This window comes from Homo sapiens, chromosome 22 (genome assembly GCF_000001405.40).
Source record: "Homo sapiens chromosome 22, GRCh38.p14 Primary Assembly".
Taxonomy (NCBI): Eukaryota; Metazoa; Chordata; class Mammalia; order Primates; family Hominidae; genus Homo; species Homo sapiens.
This window is the reverse complement of record NC_000022.11, coordinates 36,705,130-36,728,521: the sequence shown is the minus strand read 5'-3', so window position 1 is coordinate 36,728,521 and position 23,392 is coordinate 36,705,130. Positions and strand designations below refer to the sequence as shown.

Below are 23,392 nucleotides of genomic sequence, written 5' to 3'. Positions count from 1 at the left end.
GGCTCTGGGAGCCAGAACTGTCCCGCTTGCCTCAGATAATTGGGATAAAAAGGGAGAATTTGAGCCAGAGCTGCGTTTTCCAAGATCCCAAGAACCACACATGCATGCACACATATACATGCATACACTGCTCACACGTGCATACACCTAAGCACACACTGCCTACACAAGCACATGCACACATACACATATGTACGCACACATACACATGCACACATACATGCACACATGTACATGCACATGAGCCCACACAAACATATGTACACATACGCATACGTACATGCCCATACGCACACATGCACACACACGCATGCACACATGTACATGCACACACTGCCCACACATGCACAGGCACACATACACATATGTACATGTCCACACACACATGCACACACATGGACACACACACATGCATGCACACATGTACATGCACACACTACCCACACATACGGGCACACATACACATATGAACATGCCCACACAGGCACAGGCACACACATATACCCCAGAGGGAAGCTCCCAGTTTCATATGAGATTGCCATTTCAAAATGAACAGGATTGAGTCTTAGTAACCAAAATGAGATTGTTATTTTTAATAACTAAAAGTGACTGGAAAGTTACAGAATGAAGTGTCCTAGAGGAAACCAGCTACCCAGCAAGAAAAACGAAGCTCAGCAGAGCACAGGGGAGCAGTTATTAGAAAAAAATAATAAAACAGAACAGAATCTTTTCCTGTTTACCTCACAAGCTGAGGTTCCTCACCCAAACTGGCTCCATTAATTACTATTATCTCCCAGTTCCAGGCTGGGAAGCTTGCTTGGCATCCTCCTAGCACACAGAGGAAGCCTCTATTAATTTGGGAACCTGAAGTTTAAACAAAAAAACGGGTGAGTTGGAGACTTTCTCGCTGCAGCCTATTGCCTTCCTATCACAAAGTGTGTTTGCAGGTGAGTTCACCGGTCTGAAGGATCTGGGAGGAAATTCTAAAACTGTTCAAGGCACAACAACATTCTTCTGCTAACATTCTAATTTCATTCCTCCCCTTCTCCCAGGTGATTCCATTTCCTCCCAAATTAAGATGGAGTATGAGAAGGCACCGAGGAGCTGGAGGCAGGAGCTCCAGACTGGAGGCCAAGTGCTGTCATCTGCAAGCCGTGTGACCCGGGACAAGTCTCTGTCCCACAGATCCCTGCGTCCTCACCTGCAGCGATCATAACACCCAGCTCAATGAGTCCATGTGAAGAAATGAAAAAGACCATATGAGAATGCCTGTGGTGACCTGCTAGACATGTGTGTGATTACCTAGAGGCTAAGGGAGCTCCCTTCGGGTCTGAGTCCCGGGATCACTGTGCCTTAAGCCATGTGACCTTGGGAAAGCCAACTGCTCCCAGGCCTCAGTTTGCTCACCTGTCAAATGGAAGGGATGCTGGCATTTCTGTCAGCAGTGTTGCAGGGATAGGATAGAAGGAGATAAAGCATTGTGAGGCCGAGGCAGGAGGATCACTTGAAGCCAGGAGTTCGAGACCAACCTGGGCAGCATTAGCAAGACCCCCATCTCTACAAAAATAAAAATAAATTAGCCAGGTATAGTGGCGCATGCCTGTAGTCCTGGCTACTTGGGAGGCTGAGGTGGGAGGATCGCTTGAGCCTGGGAGGTTGAGGCTGCAGTGAGCTATGATCACACCATTGCACTCCAGCCTGGGTGACAGAGTGAGACCCTGTCTCAAAAGGAAAAAAGAATGTATCCGACCATTTTAAAACCAAAGCGGAGCACATGGTAATCACAGTCACCAGTATTTGTTTCCCTTAATTGCAACTCCTAAAATCAGGGATCCAAGGGACGTCAAAGACATACCCAGGGTGTTTGACCTCAAACTGGAAATCGTTGTGTTACCCTTTCCCTCTCTCTCTTGGGCCCAGTGGCTCATCTCGTGGGCCCAGCGGCTCATTCTAAATGTAATGTATGTGATTACCTCTAGAAACCTTGTCATGACTCCAGCTGACTACCCCAACACCAGAAATCAGACCCGAGGCTGTCGAAATGGCTCAATCACTCACTCAGGACCAGTGGAGGCAGCTGACAGATTTTAACCCCTCTTCTAAAGAGACAGTAGATTGTCTCCACTTTGGCCTACTAGAGAAGCTTCCAGGGGTTTTTATTTTGTGAGCATCTATTTTGTGCCCATCTTCTACCAGCTAACTTACTCTGCTTAGGAGACCCCTGAGGTAACACCCACCATCACCCTGCTTCCCAGGTGAGGGTGGCACGGTGGCTATTGCAGCAGCGCTGGGATTGGAGCCCAGGTCTGTCTGCCCCAAGCCCACTCCTTCGCCTCCCTGTCCCAGCTTCAGCCACCGCCGGCCACTGAGCTTGCCACCTGCATGACCTTCCCCTCTCCAGGAGAGACTTTGCTCGAAGGACGAGGGACGTGCCACCCAGGCATTTCCTCTGATGACCGCAGGATGAATTTTCCCCATTCACTCATTCTCCTGCCTGTGAATCAAAGCTTGTCTTTTTTTTTTTTTTTCTCTGCCTCCAGCCCTTGAGTTTCCAATTTCACCATTAGCTCATTGAACAGTGGCAGCATTCCCGAGCCTCGTTCAGGAAGACTTCATCTTCCGCAGGACACAGAGGGAGCACAAGAAGGTAGAGCCCGAGGGGACCGGAGCCGAGCCAGAATCGCACCACCGCCCGTGGGGCCGCCCAGAGGCAAAGCCTGGGGCCCGCATGGCTCCCCGGGCTCCCTGTGGCTCTCCGGGCCTCCGTGTGCTCTGTAAACCATGGGTCGGCATCCTAAGCCCAGCAGATGCTGCATGACATATAAACTGTAAAGCGCTAGAGGTACGTGAGGGGTAGGTATGGACTGGGCAGAGGAAGGGGCTTGTACACAGTGAAATGCCGCACCCATGCCAAACAACTTTGCAAATGCCAGGGAGTAATGTCGTGCCCTTCGCGATGCCCAGAGAATGCCCCAGCATGGAGATGAGCCAGGGGGCCCACGAGAGTGAGAGAAAGGGGTAACACAACCGTTCCCAGTTTGAGGCCAAAGACGTTGGGTGTGTCTTTGAGGTCCCTTGGATCCCTGATTTTAGGAGTTGCAATTAAAGGAAACAATACTGATGACTGTGACTACCATGTGCTCTGCTAAGTGCCCCAAATGCTTATCTTCTTCTATCCTATCCCTGCAACACTGCTGATGGAAATGCCAGCATCCCTTCCATTTCACAGACGAGCAAACTGAGGCCTGGGAGCAGGTGGCTTTCCCAAAGTCATATGACTTGGTGCATGGTGATCCTGGGACTCAGACCCCAAGGGAGCCTCCTTAACGTCTAGCTGGTGTGGGGGCAAGCACAGAGCATTGTGTCCCATCCAGGGAAGGGCCCAGGTAATGTGGCTTGTCTCCACCTCCCTTCACCACCACACCTGGCCAAGAGGGGCAGGCCCAAGCCCAGAAGAGCTGTCCCCACTGGACTGTGCCACAGGGTAGGGGGTGCCTGCCGGACACTTGCATCTGGAGGCAAGTGACCCTCAAATCATGCTCAGGCTAAACTGGAAGCAAAGGGGAGACTGCAGATCTCAAGACAATTGGAACATTGAAGAAATTAGGCCAGGCATGGTGGCTCACACCTGTAATTTCAGCACTTTGCGAGGCCGAGGCAGGAGGATCACTTGAGGCCAGGAGTTCGAGACCAACCTGGGCAGCATTAGCAAGACCCCCATCTCTACAAAAATAAAAATAAATTAGCCAGGTGTAGTGGTGCATGCCTGCAGTCCTAGCTACTTGGGAGGCTTAGGTGGGAGGATCACTTGAACCTGGGAAGTTGAGGCTGCAATGAGCTATGATCACACCATTGCACTCCAGCCTGGGTGACAGAGTGAGACCCTGTCTCAAAAGGAAAAAAGAATGTATTTGACCATTTTAAAACTAAAGCCAGTTAGTGTAAGGCATTGTCAGAAATAGTTATACTCCCATTCTTTTGATATCTGTGTGGTTTTATCCATTGATTGAATAATTGATTGAAACAAGATCTTGCTCTGTTGCCCAGGCTGGATTGCAGTGGTGCAATCATAGCTCACTACAGCCTCATATCCCTGGGCTCAAGGGATCCTCCTGCCTCAGCCTCTCAGGTAGCTGGGACTACATGCACACACTACCTCACCCAGCTAATTTTTTTTTTTTCATTTTTGTCTTGTAGAGATGGGGGTCTCACTTTGTTGCCTAAGCTGGCCTCCAACTCCTGGCTCAAGTGATCCTCCTGCCTCAGCCTCCCAAAGTGCTGGGATTGCAGGCATGAGCCACTGTGCCTGGCCTTTTTTGTGGTTTACTATCCCCACATGCTCTCCAAACCCAAGATGTCTTGAGGCCCATCTAGAGAGTCCGAAATCTCCCTGGACTGAAAGTCAGGAAGACCTGGGCTCTTATCTAAGATCTACTAACCCCTACTTGCTGTGTGCCCTTAGGTGAGTTCCGACTGTCTCTGGGCATCAGTTTTCTCATCTGTGAAATGAAGCAATAGACTCACCTGCCTTCTAAATGCCTCCCCACTCAGGCTTTCAGGGAGCCCAGTGGGTTGCATGTCGCAGGTCTGTGGTGCTGAGTGCAAGTCTATATTTTCTTTACAAATATTTATTAAGCACCTACTCTGTCAGCTCCTATAGATGCATAGCCTCAGATTATTAATTCAACCCCATGCAATAGAAATAGAAATGGAGGCATTCTGTCATTCAGAGAAGGAAGCGGAGGTTTCAGCAGGTGAAGTCACTCGCCCTTTGTCTCACAGCGGCATTCAAACACTGGCTCCTGGTCTGAGCCCATTCCATTTCATTCTGCCACCTCCCCACATAAGGAAAGCAGGAAATGGAGGGAAAGGCTGCTTCTCCCTCCACATGGCATCCTATGAGGTGCTACAATTGTTATTCCCATTTCACAGAGCAGGACACTGAAGCACATGCAGGTGCCCAGAGTCACACAGGATCTAAAGCCCCCTGCAGTCATGTAAGCTTAACCATGGGGTTGGCCAGGTGCAGTGGCTCATACCTGTAATCTCAGCACTTTGGGAGGCCGAGGCGGGCGGATCACGAGGTCAGGAGTTTGAAACCAGGCTGACCAACATGGTGAAACCCCGTCTCTACTAAAAGTACAAAAAAATTAGCCGGGCATGGTGGCACACACCTGTAATCCCAGCTACTCAGGAGGCTGAGAGTCAGGAGAATCGCTTGAATCCTGGAGATGGAGGTTGTAGTGAGCCGAGATCACACCACTGCACTCCAGCCTGGGCAACAGAGCAAGATTCTGTCAAAAAAAAAAGAAAGAAAGAAAGCTTAACCACGGGACTGCACTGCTGCCCCCACCTCAAAGCACTCAAAATAGGAGGGGAAGGAGACAGCAGGAAGCTCACAGGTGCCAACCAGTAATTAGGTATGAGACAGCGACACTGTGGAGGCCAAAAGGATCTGAAAAGGGGCTTTGATCCCAGACCAGGACAGCTGGAGGCTGCCTGCAGGGGCAGAGGCATGGAGGATGAACAGGATTCGCTAGGCAGGGGAGGAAGAAGACATCCCACAGAAAGAAACCAGAAAATAGCAGGCACAGAGCCCCTCATCCTGTGTGGGGGACAGTGTGCCACCCGGGTGAAGGATGCAAACTTGGGAAACCTTACTGCACTTCCTGAGGGAGGGGAGAGACCAGGAATGGGGCTGTGGGGACCAGCAAGGTGGGAAGGAATGCCAGCAGCTGACAGTGCAAGGAGGGATGGGGGTGGAGAGATGCTAAGAAATTATAGCACTGTTTCCCAAAGCCAGGTTCCAGTTTTTTGGGTTCTGTGGTCACTTAAGTCTGGAAGCCTGCCTTCTACATCGCTCTCTGGGAGAGTCTTAGGCACAGGAGCCTAGGCAAGGCTTGAAGTGCCGCAGCCATAGAACCTGTTCGGCTGTTTAGTGCAGGTTCTTAAACTTGCTTTGCCACAGAACCCTCATGTGGCCATTTTAATTTTAATTTTGATAACCATATCTAAGATCCAGCGGAACTCACGTGCCACCAGATTAACTACGAGGCAAGTTAACTGTGGAAATGAGTGGATTGAGCAGAAGTGAATCTGTGGTTCCATAGCATATGCCTGCTCATAGTAGGTGCTTAATGAACCTTTACTGGAAAGACCCATGGACAGAGGTGAGCTCACCACCTTCTGGCAAGGTTTGGGGTTCTATGAGAGGCTTCTGCTACCTCCTCCCTCCACTCCTGACCTTTTTACCCATGGGTGTTTATTGACTTTGCTAGGGGCCAGGTGCTTTCTGACTTGCTTTGCTTACAAGAGCTTATCAAATTCACACTACCCTATGAGGCACTGAGAGGGTGAGAAACTGGCCCATGGTCACTCAGCAAAATAAGTGGCAGAGTTTGCATTTTGATCCAAATTTGACTTACTCCAGAACCCCCTTTCTTCATCATTAGATTTTACTGAGTCTCAAAAATCTACCTTTATGCCTTCACCTCTGGCTTAACTGCTCCTGTTAAACATACACATTTGAGGTCTGTGTTATACCAGCAGACATTTACACTTTAGTGTGAATGTATATTTTGAAAAGAGTACCTGAGGTGTGCATATACTACTAAAAATGCCAATATTAATATTACCACTAGTACTGATATTATCACTACCAATGTTTGTTATTTATTGAATACTTACTCCATGCCAGGTACTGTTATTAGCCTGTTAAAGTTATTAAATCATTTAACTATCACAACAGTGTGATAGTTAGGATAATTGTTCAACAAAAATTCACTCCCCTCTGTCTCTCCCTAGGGGCGTACGCTTCTCTCTCCCATTGACCAGCTTTGGCCAATAGGACTTCCCCTTTAATTCTCCTCTTTGCCATCAGAACATGCCTTATGTAGCCGGTGGCCCAAAGAAGATGAAAGACAAATGGAGAAGACCTGTGTTTAATCCACAGCTCAGAGCCAAGCCTAGCAAGCCCCACCTAGATAAGCCAAACCCAAGCCTCCTCCTCCCCAGCCTCTCTCCAGATGCATGAATGAAAAAAACAATAGTTGTTGTTGATGTTACTAAGTCTGGGGGTGGTTTGTTCTATAGCAATAACTGACTAAGACCCACGGGTACTACGAGAACTCCCTGTTTACATATTTAAAAAACTGAGGCACGGGGAGATTCAGTAACTGACATGTGTTCACAAAGCAAGTTAGCGACAGCAAAAATTTGAACCCAACCAGTCTGGTTCCAGCACCTATCATCATACAATAGGGGTGGGGAATCTTAAAGAACAAATCCCAAAAGCTTGTTAACATAACAAACCAAAAGAGGCAAATAACAGCTTCGTTTATGTCCAAAGTCAACAACAGATAGCACCTCCAAGCCAGAACCTGAACATGTTGGGAAAATACCAAGATTGACATGAGCTGAAAGAAGAGGTTTCATTCTCAGTAGAGCTTCAAGGACTCTTCCCAGAGAAGGGGCACAGTTCCACAGAGAGGAGTTCAGAGAGCAGCAGGGCCAGCGCCAGTGGTCATTAACAGTTGTGGAACATGATGAAGTTCATGGCCACCCTCTGGTAAGATGTCACTCATGGTATGTGTCCCCATCCAGCCTCCTGAGGAGGAGAGAAGGAGACAATGGGTCAGGGGAAAAGGAGAGCAAGAAAAGGAGGTAGTTTACATATGAGAGATAGAAGGAAGCTGTCTACCCTGCACTGCGGAATTCCTTTATTAAAAGAACTTTGGTTTGAGCGGGGTGGCTCATGCCTATAATCCCAGCAGTTCAAGAGGCGGAGGTGGGAGGATAGCCTGAGCCCAGGAGTTTGAGACCAGCCTGGGCAACATGGCAAAACTCTGTCTCTACAAAAAAAAAAAAAAAAAAAAAATTAAAAATGAGCCGAGCGTGGTGGCATGTGCCTGTAGTTCCAGCTAGTTGGTAGGTTGAGAAGGGAGGATCCACTTGACACTGGAAGGTTGAGGCTGCAGTGAGCCATGACCTCGCCACTGCACTCCAGTCTGGGAGACAAAGCAAGATTCTGTCTCAAAAAAAGAAAAAAAGAAACCCAACTTCATGAATATCACGTTGTGAGTCCCCTGTGTTTATTTCAGTGTCCTTGATGAGCCAATAGAGTAATCAAGGCACAGAAGAGGGATGTGGCTTACACCAGATAAAATAATACTGAGTAATTTTCTGAGTCAATAGGAATCCAGATCTCTCCAGAGTCCTGGACCAAGCATAGTTTGAGGATGCCATTTGACATCTGAATGTGAGCACTAGAAAGGCCCTTTGGCTTCCTGGGGTCCAAGTTCTGAGAGATGGGGAGATGAGGAGACCCAGAAGGGCCAATGACTGGTCAAAGCCACATGCAAAGCCCACCAGGTTACTCTACGGATTGGAGATATCTGTAGCGATATCTCTTAAAATTTCTATGCCCTCTTGTCTCCCTCGTCACCCCTATGGTTCTCCCACCCTTTCCTCTAACACCCTGAAAAACTTCTCCTGAACCCTAAATAGAGGGCTTCTTGTTCATTTCTTTCTCCTCCTTTCTTTTTGATTCTATATCCCTAAGTTCTTCCAAAAACCTAGTCAAGAATCAAGAAAACCTGATTAGATGACAGCAGGAAAGCAAAGGCCAGGAACACCCATTCATGAATAAATTTGGCTTGCTCTTACCCAAAGAATAAGCTTCAGTTTATAGCCTCTCCTTTTAGTTCACCTAATGTTCCGTCCTCATTCTCTCCTCCCAATACACAGCTTCGGGGTGATTCTACCATAAAGTGAACCAGGCAATTGCTTATGCCCCAAAACCCCACTCATCCACAATTAACACTCCTCAGGCTTGAGTCACGATGGCAGAAGGATGTATTAGTTCCCACATACACACTTCTACTTTACCCAAATAAGTGTGTTTGTGTGAAGGCTACACCACAAATGTGCATATGCAGCTGGGCATCCTTTCAAGGGAAACATGGTGCTCAGGGATGTTTTATCTAGAGAATCCATTGAACTTGACATTGTCAGAAATTTATTTAGGACAAATGCAAACTAGCAGGAACTGTGTAAAATATTCAGCACACAACATGAGTTGGACACAATCAGGTACCCCTGCCGCACCCTTGAGAATCTGGCTTGTGGATGCTCTTCCAACACTGGGACCGTTTGACCACAGGTAAATTCAGCTCATAGAGGTCATCATTGCCTGAGCCAAGCCTGTCACACAAAGTGGTCTGTCTGAACTGGCTCTCAAAACTCACTAACCAGACTGTGCTTCCAGTTGATATGGCATTTTGTAGGCAGCATAGATCAATTGGAAAAGTGAATTATTCCCGGTTAGTGACTAATAATAAGATAATAACATTATAACCACCTCCCAAAAAATGTGTAGGAGCTGAAGAAAATGTAGCAAGAGCAGAAAAACTGAATTAAGTTATGCAAAAAAAATCAAGAGTGGGTGACTTTGCGAGAAGGCAAAGAGCAGTTAATGTGGCTTCAGAATTAAATTACTCCTCTGTTATAGATGAATTTAGCACCACAAAATGTAGGTAAATGTATTTAAATGATCATAGAGCTTATAAATCCAATAAATCATTATGATCTTACTGAGATGGCTTGGTTCACTTTTTTTTTGAACCTAAAAACACCTCATAACAGCCTGCAGTGAGATCTGGGGCCTGCCGCTGTGCCCAAACAGGTTTCATCCTTGTCCACTGTGATCCTTTCTGGTTCTAGCTCAGAGACAGCACTGGCCAGCCTCTCTGTCTGAACATCTCTCTCAGATGTCTGTGCAGGTCTCAGCTCCTTGGAGGGGCCTTCTCTGATCACTCACCCAAAAGAGGACACCACCTCTTCACTCTCAGTCTCACCTTCTCCCACGACCAGTCTTTCTCTCTCCCATAACCTTGTTTTGTATCTTTTGTATCTTTCATAGCCCTTCCTACTTTATGAAAGAATCCCATCTTAGCCGGGCATGGTGGCTCACACCTGTAATCCCAGCACTTTGGGAGGCTGAGACAGGCGGATCACAAGGTCAGAAGATTGAGATCATCCTGGCTAGCATGGTGAAACCCCTTCTCTACCAAAATACAAAAAATTAGCTGGGCATGGTGGCTTGTGCCTGTAGTCCCAGCTACTCGGGAGGCTGAGGCAGGAGAATCACTTGAACCCGGGAGTCAGAGGTTGCAGTGAGCCAGGATGGCACCACTACACTCCAGCCTGGGCAACAGAGCGAGACTCCATCTAAAAAAAAAAAAAAAAAAAAAGAATCCCATCTCATTTAGCTGTCCATTTGCAGGCTCACCAGAATAAGTGGGAGATGGGAAAGACGGTAGAACATGGTGTTTGAGAGGAAGGCCATGGGGCCAGGGAGCTCTGCCACTCACTCACTGAGACCAACCCTGGGCAAGTGACTGGATCTCATGGGGCCTCGCTTTTCTCATCTGTAAGACTGGGATGATAATACCCTCCTCCTAGGGCTGTTTTGAAGATTTGATGAATGAATGGACGTAAGGCAATTAGAACAATGTCTGGAACATAATAAGCTCTGTATGCGTTTCTAAAACTTTTTTTTATCATGGAATATTTCCAATACAGACAAAAGTAGAGAAAACAGTAGATGTGGAGCATTCTTGATCTGAAAATCTGAAATCCAAAATGTTCCAAAATCCAAAACTTTTTGGGCACCAACAGGACGCCACAAGTGGAAAAGTCCACACCTGACCTCATAACACATGAACTTTGTTTCATGCACAAAATTATTTTAAATATTGCATAACAACACCTTTGGGCTATGTCTATAAGGTATATATGAAACATAAATGAATTTCATGTTTTGAGATGGATCCCATCCCCAAGATACCTCATTATGATATGTAAATATTCCAAAATCCGAAAACTCTGAATTTGAAACACTTCTGGTCCCAAGCACTTTTTGTTTAAGGGATACTTGCCTGTATAATAAATCCCTATTTACCCATTGCTGAGTTTCCATAATTGCCAATTTAAGGTCAATTGTGTTTCATCTATATTTTCATCCATTTCCCCCCAGTTTTAGGTTATTTAGAAACAAATTACAGACTTTACATAGTTTTACCAGTAAATATTTCAGGAAGTATCTCTAAAGGTAAAGACTCTTCATTTTATTTTATTTATTCTTTAGAGACAGAGTCTCACTCTACTGCCCAGGCTGGAGTGCAGTGGCATGATCACAGCTCACTGCAGCCTCAAACTCCTGGGATCAAGAAATCCTCTTGCCTCAGCCTCACAAGTAGCAGGGATTAGAGGTACACGCTACCGTGCCCAGCTAATATCTTTTTTTTTTGTAATTTTTGTAGAGATGGGGTCTCATTGTATTGCCCAGGCTGGTCTTGAACTCCTGGGCTCAGGCAATCCTCCTGCTATGGCCTCCCAAACTGCTGAGATTACAGGCGTGAGCCACCACACTTGGCTGAGCGCTCTTTATTTTAAACATAACAACAATATCATTATCTCACCAAAAAATAATTAACACGTTACCATTATCACACCTTGAAATTGAACTTTTGTCTCCCTTGGCCTCTGCTATATCCCCAGGCGCTAGAATAAGGTCTAGCATATGGTAGGTGCTCAATAAATAGGTGTTGAATACAAGAGCGACTTCTCTCCTTGCTTTAAAGGCCTCTGAAGCTTCCTCCATTCAGTTAGATTTGTCTGCTATGTACACACTTTCATATTAACTTTGGTTTGAATACTATTTAATATCTTATAGTCCTGGGGGTGGGGGTTAGGAGGCACTGGGGAGGTATGAGAGCATCAACTATATTCAACAAACATCTCCTGCCCCCCTGCTGAATGTCTAGCCCCATCTCAGGCCCTGGGATGCAGGGGTGGTATAAGGCACCATTGAATGAAACCAGCTCAAAGTTCATGTAGAAGAATGCAGAGCCGGGAACAACCAGATCCTGCGAAAGAGAAGAATATGGGGGAAGAACGTGGCTTATTAGAGATCAGAACATATTAAGGCCCCTATAATCAAATCTGAATGGTGCTGGTGAGGAAGCGATACACAGATCAGTGGAACAGAACAGACAGCTCAGAACTAGATCAAAGTATTCATGAGAATTTAATATGTGGCAGAGATGGTATTTCAATTATGCTGGAAAAGGAGCAACTGTTTTATTAATCATGCCAGCACAACCAGCTAGCTTTTGTAAGAAAGTTGAAACCTCCTCTTACAATCACACACATAAATAAACCCCAGATGGATTAAAGAGTTAACAGCCCCCAACATTAAAATAATAAATATCTTGGGAGAAAATGTAGGAAATGACAAGGGTGATCTCAGAGCATTTTTAAAAACACCAAGAGAGTCATATTTTTAAAGAAAGACATATTTTACTACATAAAAATTACTTTTGTGGCAACAGATATTCACAACATTGATATAAAAACAAAAGATTTAAGCACAAAACTATTTGCAACACAGATATCAAGCAAAATGTTAATATCTATATATACAAAGAGCTGTTATAAACTGATAAGCAATGAACAAGGAGAACTGGAGTTAGGCAAAGGATAAAAATAGGCAAGACATAGTACAAATCTAAATGGCCAACAAACATACAACAATATGCACACTCACTATTGTATAGGACATTAACTGAGATTTCACTTTGCCCCTATTAGACAGGCAAAAATTAAAAATAATGCTAACACCTGTTGCTGGAATGGCTGCTGGGAAACAGTAGGAAAGCACTCATGAATTGTTGGAGAAAACGCAAAGTGTTACAGCACTTTTGGAAAGCAATCTGGCAACATTGACTAAAATAAAAAATACATAGTCTCTTCAATTGAGCAATCCCCCTCCTGGGAATCTATTCCATCAAAATAAAATCTCCAGTTAGAAGGATGTATGTACAAGGAGGTTTATGGCAGCACTGCTTATAGCAGAGGGAAAAAAAAATTGGAAATAAAGTGAACGTCTGTCAATAGAAGACTGGATGAAGAAATTATAGTAGTTCCTCACTTTGAAAAATGATGGTGCCATTAAAAGAATGAATTAGAGCTGCAGAGGCTGACTTGGAGGGATTCCCACGGGTGGTGGTGTTTGAATGAGTAAAGCAAGACACAGAAAGGGTGCCTCGTATAATCCCATTCTGTAAAAGAATGGTCCAGCTCTCTGTATGTGAGTGGCATCTGGATATGCGCAGGTGTGTTTGTGTGTGAAGACGATCTGCGTGTCTATTTTGCTTATGATTGCTTGAACACCTAGAGATATATCGGTTGTAACATGGGTACGGAGATGGGAGAGGGATATATACATAAAGAGGAAAGAGACAAGCAAAAGAAAAAAAGCAAGGCTGAAAAGGGACTAGCAGGTATGACTTCACCTCGATTATGCCCTTCTGCAGATTATCTACATATGTATCTATGTTGAAAGACAAAATGATTTCATGGGAGAATTCATAGCACAGAAGGGCCCGGCTTGTTGAGAGAAACAAGAGGAGTGTAGCTGGAACTCTGTGGGAGTAGGGCAGGAAGGTGATGGAAGAGATTGAAGGTCAAATCTCACAAGCTGTGTGTAGACGTCATCAAAGGTTCTAAGCAGAGAGATGCTACAATATCACACCTTTCTTGAGCATTCTCGTGTACCACAGAGTCCTAGGTCCTTGATATAAATTCATAAATTCTATACTGAGGAGTCATTATTATTTTTCCTATTTTCCAGACAAAGAAATGAGGCTCCGTGAGGGGGAGGCAGTAGGAGCTCAACATGTAGCTCCAGACCCCAGGTTCTTTCCACTATCCCACTCAGTTTGGCCTCCATAGGTAAATATAGTTCCCTTAGCAGCAAGAGCAGGCGGAGACATAAGCCCTGAAGCTCAGCAAGGAGCTGGGAAGAGGTCCAGGGCTCAGCAGACACCTGCTTGCCACTCTGAGTAAGTGGAAGTGGGGGAGTCACCTAACCCGCGGAGTCTCTCCCCACTATGGGGCCCTAATTGTGTACTGGGCAGGACTTTGGCAACAGGCAGAGCTGTGTGCAAATTACAGCTCTGCCATTTGCTGGCTGTTTGGCTTGGCAGGGTCAGCCCCCTGAGCTTCAGTTTTCCCAAGGTTTTTATAGCATTAAGGGAGAAAATGCCCAACACATAGTAGGTTATCTATTAATAGGAGTCTCTATAGTACTAGAGCCTCAGGGCCTAGAATCTTGACTGTATCACATATTAGCTGTGTGACCTTGGGCAAGTTGCTTACCCTCTCTGTGCCTCTTGAGGGCCATCACAGAACTTCCCTTGAGGACTTGCTATAAAGATTAAATGAGTTCATATGACACCAAGTATACCAAGCACACAGCCATACTCCCCAAGTGTCATGGAAACCGGGTGGTCAACGTGGTCTCCTGACATTGAGAGAATATGCTATTATTATCAATTTCCTCCTCTTCTCTCTAACTTACCCCTACCCCACATTTATCAACAACCTGTGTTTATTCAGGCCCTGTTCTGTGCCAAACCATGTGCAAGATACAAAGGGCACAATGACAACCACAATGGACAAGGACCCCATCGTTCAGAACTTGAGGCTTCTTAGGAGAGATGATGAAACAGCATTTGCAGGACAGGAGGTGAGGACCCAGGGAAGAGGGTGCAGGAACCTAGCTAGGACAGCAAGTCTAGCCCAGTCTGCGGGCCAGGGATCCACCCCTGGGTACCTGTGGAAGCCCCCCGATGTCCGTCTGCATGGCAGTGGGTTCTGAATTCCAAGCAGGCCCATGGAGTGAGTTGGCGTGTTAGCACATAGTAGGTTACTTGGCTCAGATAAGACTACCCATAAATATACCAGATAGCCCAACTGATACCAACAGAGGGACTCGGGCACCCACAGGTTGTTGAAAAGGAAGCTATTTTAGGAAAAGAGGAACTTGACAATCCGCAAAACCCATCAGGGTCCAGGAGATGGGGTCTTTGTCTACCCATTACAGTGTGTTCCTAATCAGACCTGTTTTCAGAATATAGTGTTGGGCCACAACTTATAGATGTTCAGAACCCTTGGTGATTTTGACCTCCTCTGTAAGGAGCCAGGTCAACCACATTTATGGAATTGGTGGTGCACTTGGCAGCACAGACAAAGCACTCATTATGAAAACGTAGCAGGAGAAACCCCCATTCAATCCCCATGACAAAAGCAGCCCCATGACTCTGCCATCACACCCATTTTACAGATGAGCAAAAAGTCAGAGAGAGGTACAATAACCTGTCCCAAGCTTGGGATAATGGGGCAGAGCCAACATTCCTCGAGCCTTTGGACACAGGAGCAGCCTGTTGGTCCTCTCACCTACTGCTCTTTGGGTCTGTACCTCAATATGACACCAACACCTCCTTCACTTGCACCAGACGCCTAAAAAGAAACTCCACCAGGCTCAGAACCCTTTGCTATTGAGCCAGCTTCAGACGTGACTAATGATTCTTTAAGCCTGCAGGGTCGGGAAGCCCTGTTCCTTAAAAGGCAGGACAGCAGGCTGTCGGACTGCTGTTCAACTGGGGGAAGGGGAAAGGTCACCTCCTCTATGAAGCCCTCCCTGCTATGTCCCTGTGACCCACCCCATGGACCTCCTTGATCACACTGCATTCAGTCATTGGTTCCTGCCGGTGACTGACTTAGTTTTATCTTTGTGTCCACTGCACAGAGCTTAGCACATAGTAGGCACTAAGTTAGATTGAAGGCACCCCCTGACCAGGCCCCGCCTCCCTTTCCAGCTGATCTCTGCCAGTTCCCTCCTAGCACTTTGGAGAAATAGAATTACCTGTAGCTCCCACAAATGCACCATGCACTTACCACAATTACAATTAAACTATCAATCAATTGTGTAGTCAATTACGTAGTGGCTGCCTTCTGGGAATGTATGTTCCTAATGTTCCGAGAGGCAGGGAGTACTCCAGTCCTATTCACTGATGTTAGGTGCTCAACAAACTTATGGGACTTTTTAATTTAAAAAAAAAAAAAGTTTTTTTAAGAGATGAGGTCTTGCTCTGTGGTCGAGGCTGAAGTGTGGTGGCACGCTTATAGTTCACCGCAGCCTCAAACTCCTGGGCTCAGGTGATCCTTCTGCCTCAGCCTCCCCAGTAGTTGGGACTCCAGGTGTGAGCCACATCTGGCTAATTTTTAAATTTTTTTTGTAGAGATGGGGTCTCACTGTTTTCCAGGCTAGTATCCAATTTCTGGCCCCAAGCAATCCTCCTGCCTCGGCCTCCCAAAGCTCTGGGATTATGGATGTGAGCCACTGCACTTGGCACTAACTTTTGCTGAATAACTATTTCATGCCCCATATAGGTTGGGTCTACTATTCCCTTTGCCTAGAAAACCTTTCCCTGGCCTTCTCTGCCTCTAAGTCTTCCACTTATCCTTCAAGACCCAGAGCAGCTCTCCCAGCTCCTGGAAGCCCTTCCTGAATATCCAGGTGGCGTTGTCTGTCCACTACAGGGTGTGTTCCCTAGCATGCCTCCCTCCGCCCTCTCCCCATCCTGTTGCCCACATTATATTGAGCCCTGCATGCAGGTCTCTCTCCACTTGAGAGTGACTGCTTCTGAGCAGGGCTACGTCTGTTTCTTTCTTTCTTTTTTTTGTATTTTATTCAAAACACATAACACCCAGTAGGAGCTCAACATGTAGCTAATATTTATTTAGGGCTTACTACGGAGTAGGCGTGGGAAGTACTTTTTCTACATTATTTTATTTAATTATCAGAACAGCACCTCAAGGCAGGTGATGCTGCCCCCATTTTCCAGACAGGGCCAGTGAGACCTCAGGCTGTTGTCACTTGAGGCCACAATGCTGGCCTGCATCAGACTGGACCCCGACCCCCAGGATCCACTCCCCAGCCTGCATGGCTGTCCCCAGCAATCCTGGGGACACCTCCTCCTTGATCTGCCGAAATCCACATGGAAAGAAGTCCCCTCCGTTTCTTCCCTTTTCACCTCTCCAGGTTCCACTCTGCCCAGGGACCTCTGAAGCCACCCATTGTCTTCTCCTAAAGACCCCATTGTCCTCCCTGTGCAGAGTTCCAGGCCAGCCCTCCTGGGATACTCCAGCCAGGCCATTCCCTTCCCTTCCTCCTCTTCCTGCTTTGCTTCTGCTTCTCACCCTGCTGACCCAGGGGTTTTCCCATTCAATCCACATGTATTTGCCACATTGGGCCACACATATTTACTGTGTGCCAGATACCACGTGCAAGGCAGGGAAGCAGTAACATAGCCGGGCCCCATCCTTGCACTATAAATAAGAAAATAAAAATCTATGGGAGGTGAGGGTGGCTGCTAAGGGCTAAGGATAAAACTTCAGCAGATAAAGAGTTTGCAATGATGGGGAGTGAGACAGGCTTCATTGGGTGGTCAGTTGGGCCTCTCAGAACAGACACCTGTGGGAAAGAGGGCACGAGCCCGATGCCAAGAGATGCGTGGCCCAGGCGGAGAAACGGTGATGTCAAGGCCCTGAGTGGGCAAGGGACCAGGATCCAGGGACAGAGGGAGGCTGATTTGGCTGGAGGGAGGAAGGCAGGAGAGTGGGGCTGTGAGGGGGCTAAGCCTGGTCACCAGGCCATGCAGGGCCATTCTGTGTCCCCTCTCCACCTTGCTTGCCCAAGTAGGTTGCGTGCATCTCACTGTCTCCATCGCTATTGGATAGCCGCTCCTTTAAAAATCGCTGGAAATGGCCCTGCTTCCTGCCCTGGCCTCTCTCACAATCTTTTTTTTTTTTTTTTTTTGAGACAGAGCCTCACTCTGTTACCCAGGCTGGAGTGCAGTGGCACAATCTTAGCTCACTGCAACCTCCACCACCCGGCTTCAAGTGATTCCTCTGCCTCAGCCTCCCAAGTAGCTGGGATTATAGGCATGCACCACCATGCTGGGCTAATTTTTGTATTTGTAGTAGAGATCGTGTTTCACCATGTTGGCCAGGTTGGTCTCAAACTCCTGACCTCAAGTGATCTGCCGGCCTCGGCCTCCCAAAGTGCTGGGATTACAGGTGTGAGCCACCACACCCGGCCAGCTCATATTCTTCTTCTTGCTCTTCCTCTGCATCTTTATGTGCACATTTTTTATTTCATTTTTTCTAATCTGTAACTTTGTGATTAATTTGCTATCAGAATTTTCTTTGCTGTAGTTTAGTTTTGGGGGAAATCTCATACCAGCCGGGGGGTGGTGGGTTGAAAGGCTAGCGTGCTTGGTGGCTCAGGACTCTCTTGGGGGTGACAGTCCTGTCCTGGGTGGGAAAGTGACTTCTCTGTGGGGATTCTTGTTCTGGACATGGCTATACCCAGGGTTTCTGCTTTCTGTTTTTACCAGGCTCAGAGCTAACCACTCCCCTTCAACACATCCCACTTTCTAAGCTTGGTCAGCCCTGCTCTGCCCACCACCCCAGCCTCCTTTGGCATCAGATCCTGGGGCTCCCTGAGGTTTTCTGGGCAGTTCCCAGATGTAAGGAGTAAAACCTGCCATCTCATTACATCTCCTTCCCTCCCAGCCCCGGGGCCAACAGCCCCATCTAGACCTTTCTGCAGTGGGTGCTCCAGCATGGGGCTGAGCAACTCTGTGGCCCGAGAGAGAAGAGCAGGCCCTGGGGGAGAAGCGAGGGTGGCACCAGGCCAGTGCCACTCCCCCAGGGGAGGTCAAGTCTGACCCTCACTCTGCCTCACTCCTGCACACACCCCATCATCAACTCAGGGTACCCTCATTTCCCCAAGTTCCACTCACCCACTAACATTCAGGGGCTTCTAGAGACCTGCTTCTCCTATCTTCCAAATACGTAAATAGGGTTTCCCTTGCTTAATCCTAACAACCATAACCTTATTCATACATTCAAAAAATATTCCCTGAGCATTTATGCTGTTCCAGGCACTTTCTAGGCACTGGGGATACTGCAATGAACAAGATAGATATCATCTGATGTCCTGGGGGAGGTGGGTGGGCAGGAAGAGATTTCAGATGATAAACAAGAGAATGTGAGGCTGTGATCATGAAAGCAAAGCAGGCCAGTGTCATCCAGAGTGACCAGCACTGCTGCCCTGGAGGTGATATGGAAGCTAAGACCTGAACAAACATTCCTGCAGGGGAGGCAGCAAGTGCAAAGGGCCTACAAGAAGAACAAACTAGGTCCCTATTTACAAGTGAGGAAGAGCTGAGGCTCAGAGGGGTTAAATCGCTGCCTAAGGTCATGAAGCATAAGCTGCAGAGAGCTGAGATTCAAACCGAGGGCCTTCTGATGGCACAGCCTGTTCTCTTCCCAGTTTGCTTATGGCAAGACGAGGGCCCCCAGGACAGCAATGCCGATGGATGGTCCCTAACCCCAAGCACAGCAGTCTCTCTGGATTGGGCCCCAGCTTTCCTGTCCACCCCCATCAGTCACACCAACCTCCTTGAAGTCCCTCGTGCGGCTTCATGCCTCTTTGCACTTGTATGTGTGATTGCCATGCTTGGAATGCCCTCCTCTGTTCCTTCACCAGTTGTGATCTTTTCTCCTGGTCTTTGAGGGTCAGCTTATCCCCAAAGCCTTCTGAGACACTGCAAGACAGAAATGAATGCTTCCTGCCCTGGACTTCCACAGCCCTTGCCTTCATTATGTTCATTTATTCATCAAATAAGCATTGCAGACCTACTACGTACTGGCTCTGTAGCCCTAGAGAGCAGAGCAGGCTTGCTTAGCTGTGGGAACCGACAGCTGTGAGAACTGATGCGCCAGACGAGTTCAGACACAAAACAGCAACTCAAAACATGGAAGTGCCACAAGAGGATGAACACAGGGACTGTGGGCACACGCAGTGGGGAATGCCAGACACCCACTCCTCTCCCAGGCTGGTTGGCATGCCCTGGGTCAGCTATGTACTTTCCAATCCTCCCTGATTATGATATTTTAATCCCATCTTCATCCCTTGTACCTCAGCACAGGGCCTGACACAGAGAAGACATGCATTTGAAATTTTATAGCAAGAAAAATATTCATTTTGATTGAACACCTACTGTGTGCTAGGCTGTGTTCCAAGTGTTGGAAATACAATGTGAACAGCCCAAATCTCTTCTTTCATGAGTTCTTTACATTGCTAATTAATTAATTCACTTGCCAAGAAGATATAGGCTGGGAGCAGGGAGTGAAGAGGTAATAGAACGTAGCAAAACTAGATACACGGCCAAAGCAGAATTCTTGGCTTTCCCCACCTTCCTGCATCATCCCCTGCCCCACACACACACCCCAACCTGCTCCTGCCTCACAGTTGCCCATCTTAGTAATGGACACCAGTAGTCATCAATTTCTTCCCAAATACCCCGATTACCTTCACTTTTCCCCATCCCATTGCCATTGTGGTGGTCCAAGCCACCATCACTTCTTGCTTAGAGCTCAGCAGCAATTGCCTTCCTGTCTCCCAGTGTCTTCCTGCCTCCAGGGTTGGTTCTCTCCTTCCATATCCCACCAGCTTCTTCCAGGTTGTTGCTCATCCTCCAACCTCCCCTCCATGGTCTCCAGGTGCTTGGCCTAACACATTTCCTATCATTGTCTTAGGATCGGCCATGCTTAGTATTTTTCCCCCAAAACTGGCCAATCATCTTACTCACACTTCTGAACCTTTGCACAAACTACTCTCCCAGCCTGAAATGTTCCTCTTCTCAGCTTCCCTTGCACCCTCTAACCACCCCCAGCTTGGCCTAGGTACCTCTTTCTCATTCCTACATGTCAGTTTAAATATCCTGTCCTCAGGGAAGATGTCCTTCAGCCCCTAAGGTTGAGTTTGGTCTCCCTGCCCCATGGCCTCACAATATCCTTTGTATTATTTTCTTTACTTCGATGTGGTCGTTCTTCATCTGTATACTCCTCCTGCTTGTCTGTAGGTTCTTGGATGCAGGGACTACGTTTGTCCTGATCACCATCACTAGGAATTAGCATGGTATGTCACACACAGTGGGTGCTCAATTCTTTGAATGAATAAACTCTGGACCTGTAGGAAGTAGAACTTGAAGCAGTGCAAAGTGTTCAAATATCTGCTGTTACATTTACTTGAAATATGACCTTGCAACTTGATAGATGACCTCTCTGAGCCTCTGTTTACTCTCCCTATAGGAAAAGTTATTAATATGCATTTGCAGGATTGTTGGGGAGTTATGTGTGAGAATCTGTGTGAAAATGCCTGGCTCCTAGGAGTTACTCCACAAATGCCTGGCAAATCTGTGGATGAGGAGTAAATAGCCTCAGTGCAATACCATTACTCAGAAAGCTCATATCTTGGGTCAAGACACAGCAGTTAAGACAGAGGCTCTCAAGCCAAGCTGCTGGACTAGACTCCCAGCTCTGCCACTTACTGTCTGGGGAACCTTATGCCAAATACTTAAACCATTATGTGACTCAGTTTTCCTCATCTGTAAAATGGGAATAATGATGGCACCTACCTCATAGGATCATTGTGGGATTTAGCTTAGGTCAGTTCCTGGCACATAGCAAATGCCCATCAAATGTTAGCTTTTCACATGCTATTAACATGTAACACTGACAATCACACCATAATGCTCGTATCTGTGGTCCTCCTAGACAGATGAAGAGACAAATTTCAGAGAGGTTAAATGACTGTCCAAGGTCAAATGTGAGGAAATGGCAACCTTGTGCTTCAAGGCCAGGTCTGCTGCACTAAAATCCCACGTTATTTTCACTACATCAAAGAAGCAGCTCAAAATAGGTCTGTGGCATTTCAGCTAATTTCCTCTAAGCCCTTCCCAAGTAACCAAATGCAGGCATACAAAGCTGCTCCCCTAAGAGCATCCATTTAGCAGCTACTAAGTACTAAGTATGCCTGGTGTGTCCCAACCATTCAACAGGGCTTGTACCAAGCCAGCTCTTCCCAGGTAGCCTTGCATGGTGAGCAGAAGGGACCTAAGGAGAAGAACTAGGTTGGGAAGGGGAGGGGTGTGGTACAGGAACCATATAGAAACAGAGGCTGGAGGCCGGGCACGGTGGCTCACGCCTGTAATCCCAGCCCATTTTGGGAGTCCAAGGAGGGCTGACTGAGGTCAGGACTGAGGTCAGGACTTCAAGACCAGCCTAGCCAACATGGTGAAATCCTGGCTGTACTAAAAATTCCAAAAATTGGCTGGGCAAGGTGGCAGGCACCTGTAATCCCAGTCACTCGGGAGGCTGAGACAGGAGAATCACTTGAACCCAGGAGGCGAGGGTGTGGGTGAGCCAAGATCATGCCACTGCACTCCAGCCTGGGTGATACAAGGAGACCCCATGAGGAAGAAGAGGAAGAAGAGGAAGAAAGAAGAAGAAGAAGAAGAAGAAGAAGAAGAAGAAGAGGAAGAAAAAGAAGAAGGAGAAGAAGAAGGAGGAGGAGGAGGAGGAGAGGAGGAGGAGGAGAAGGAGGAGGAGGCCAATTTGGATGTAAAAGAGGGGAGGAGAAATGAGAGAAAACCCACACTTATTGAGTGCATACTATGTGTCAGGCACTTCACGTCTACAATTTAATCCTTACTGTGATCACTCCAGCCATTGTTCATCAAGTATCTACTATATATAAAGCTATACTCCAGGTCCCAAAGATATAACAGTGAACAAGACACAGCTGTTGACCTCAAAGAGGTTTCAAATAAGTGAAAGAGACAACACATACACAATTATGAGCTATACGTGCGATGGTGGAGGTCTGAATAGGATAGGTGGCTTGGCAGTAGCTGGGAAGAACTTCAGAAAGGAACAGGTAGGTGCTAAACTGCCCATTTAACATATGGTAAGACTGAGGCTCTAGGAACTTAACTTGTTTGGAGCTATGCCATTACTGAGTAGCAGAGTCAAGCTGTGCCCCAGGCCCATTCTGTCTCCAGTAGTCTCTGCACTGTCCATGCTGGCAGCCTAAAAGCTGTTGCTTTCCTCCCCCACCCCTTTCCCTTTTCTCAATGATCATCTGGCCAGAAGATTAATCAAATGCTGCTAAAGCTGCAGCCGTTGTCAGTGGCTAAGATGTTAGCAGATTCTGTGGACAAACAGAAGCTTCTGAGCCTCTGTTACTGATTTCTTTTGAGCAAAACCTTCAGGGGTTGGTCTGAAAGGGGGAGAGAGATGAGAAGAATGGCTCTATCTGCAGTCTAAAGGGATTTTTGGACAGGTCAAAGACAACCAAGGTGACAGCAATAAGTGAGGGCAAGGCTCTTTGGCTCATGTGACTACCCCCAACCTTCTCTCCACTCCCCCCAAAAGCTTAGCCTATCTCAGAGGAGGACTTGTTGCCTGCCCCTCACCTTTGCTTCAAGGACAGAAGAAAATCAGCCACCTGAGCCACTGGCTGAACTTGCTAGGTTCCCTGCTGTATGGGATCAGCAGATTAGCCCTCTCCATTCCTGTACCCATCCCCATCTTCACAGGACAAGAAACCAAAGTGGAGAAGTCTTCAGCCTGC

General features: G+C 47.1%; 1 long non-coding RNA gene across 1 annotated transcript in view, besides 2 other annotated features; it reads right to left on the bottom strand.

The window, feature by feature from the left end:
• CACNG2-DT (CACNG2 divergent transcript) overlaps window positions 1-23,392 on the bottom strand; it is a 63,214-nt gene that overhangs the window by 38,568 nt on the left and 1,254 nt on the right. Inside the window, exon 2 of the long non-coding RNA NR_134623.1 lies at window positions 5,175-5,294. This is a non-coding gene — a long non-coding RNA (CACNG2 divergent transcript). The remainder of the gene's footprint in view (window positions 1-5,174; window positions 5,295-23,392) is intronic.
• Window positions 2,086-2,586: an enhancer, noted in NCBI's record as "H3K4me1 hESC enhancer chr22:37121981-37122481 (GRCh37/hg19 assembly coordinates)". NCBI's record gives its function as "activates a minimal SCP1, AML or CMV promoter by ChIP-STARR-seq in primed H9 embryonic stem cells {active_cell/tissue: H9 hESC(primed)}" and the evidence as "EXISTENCE:reporter gene assay evidence [ECO:0000049][PMID:30033119]".
• Window positions 19,757-19,900: a silencer, noted in NCBI's record as "fragment chr22:37104667-37104810 (GRCh37/hg19 assembly coordinates)". NCBI's record gives its function as "represses an EF-1alpha promoter that drives an FKBP-Casp9 reporter gene in an ReSE screen in K562 erythroleukemia cells {active_cell/tissue: K562}" and the evidence as "EXISTENCE:reporter gene assay evidence [ECO:0000049][PMID:32094911]".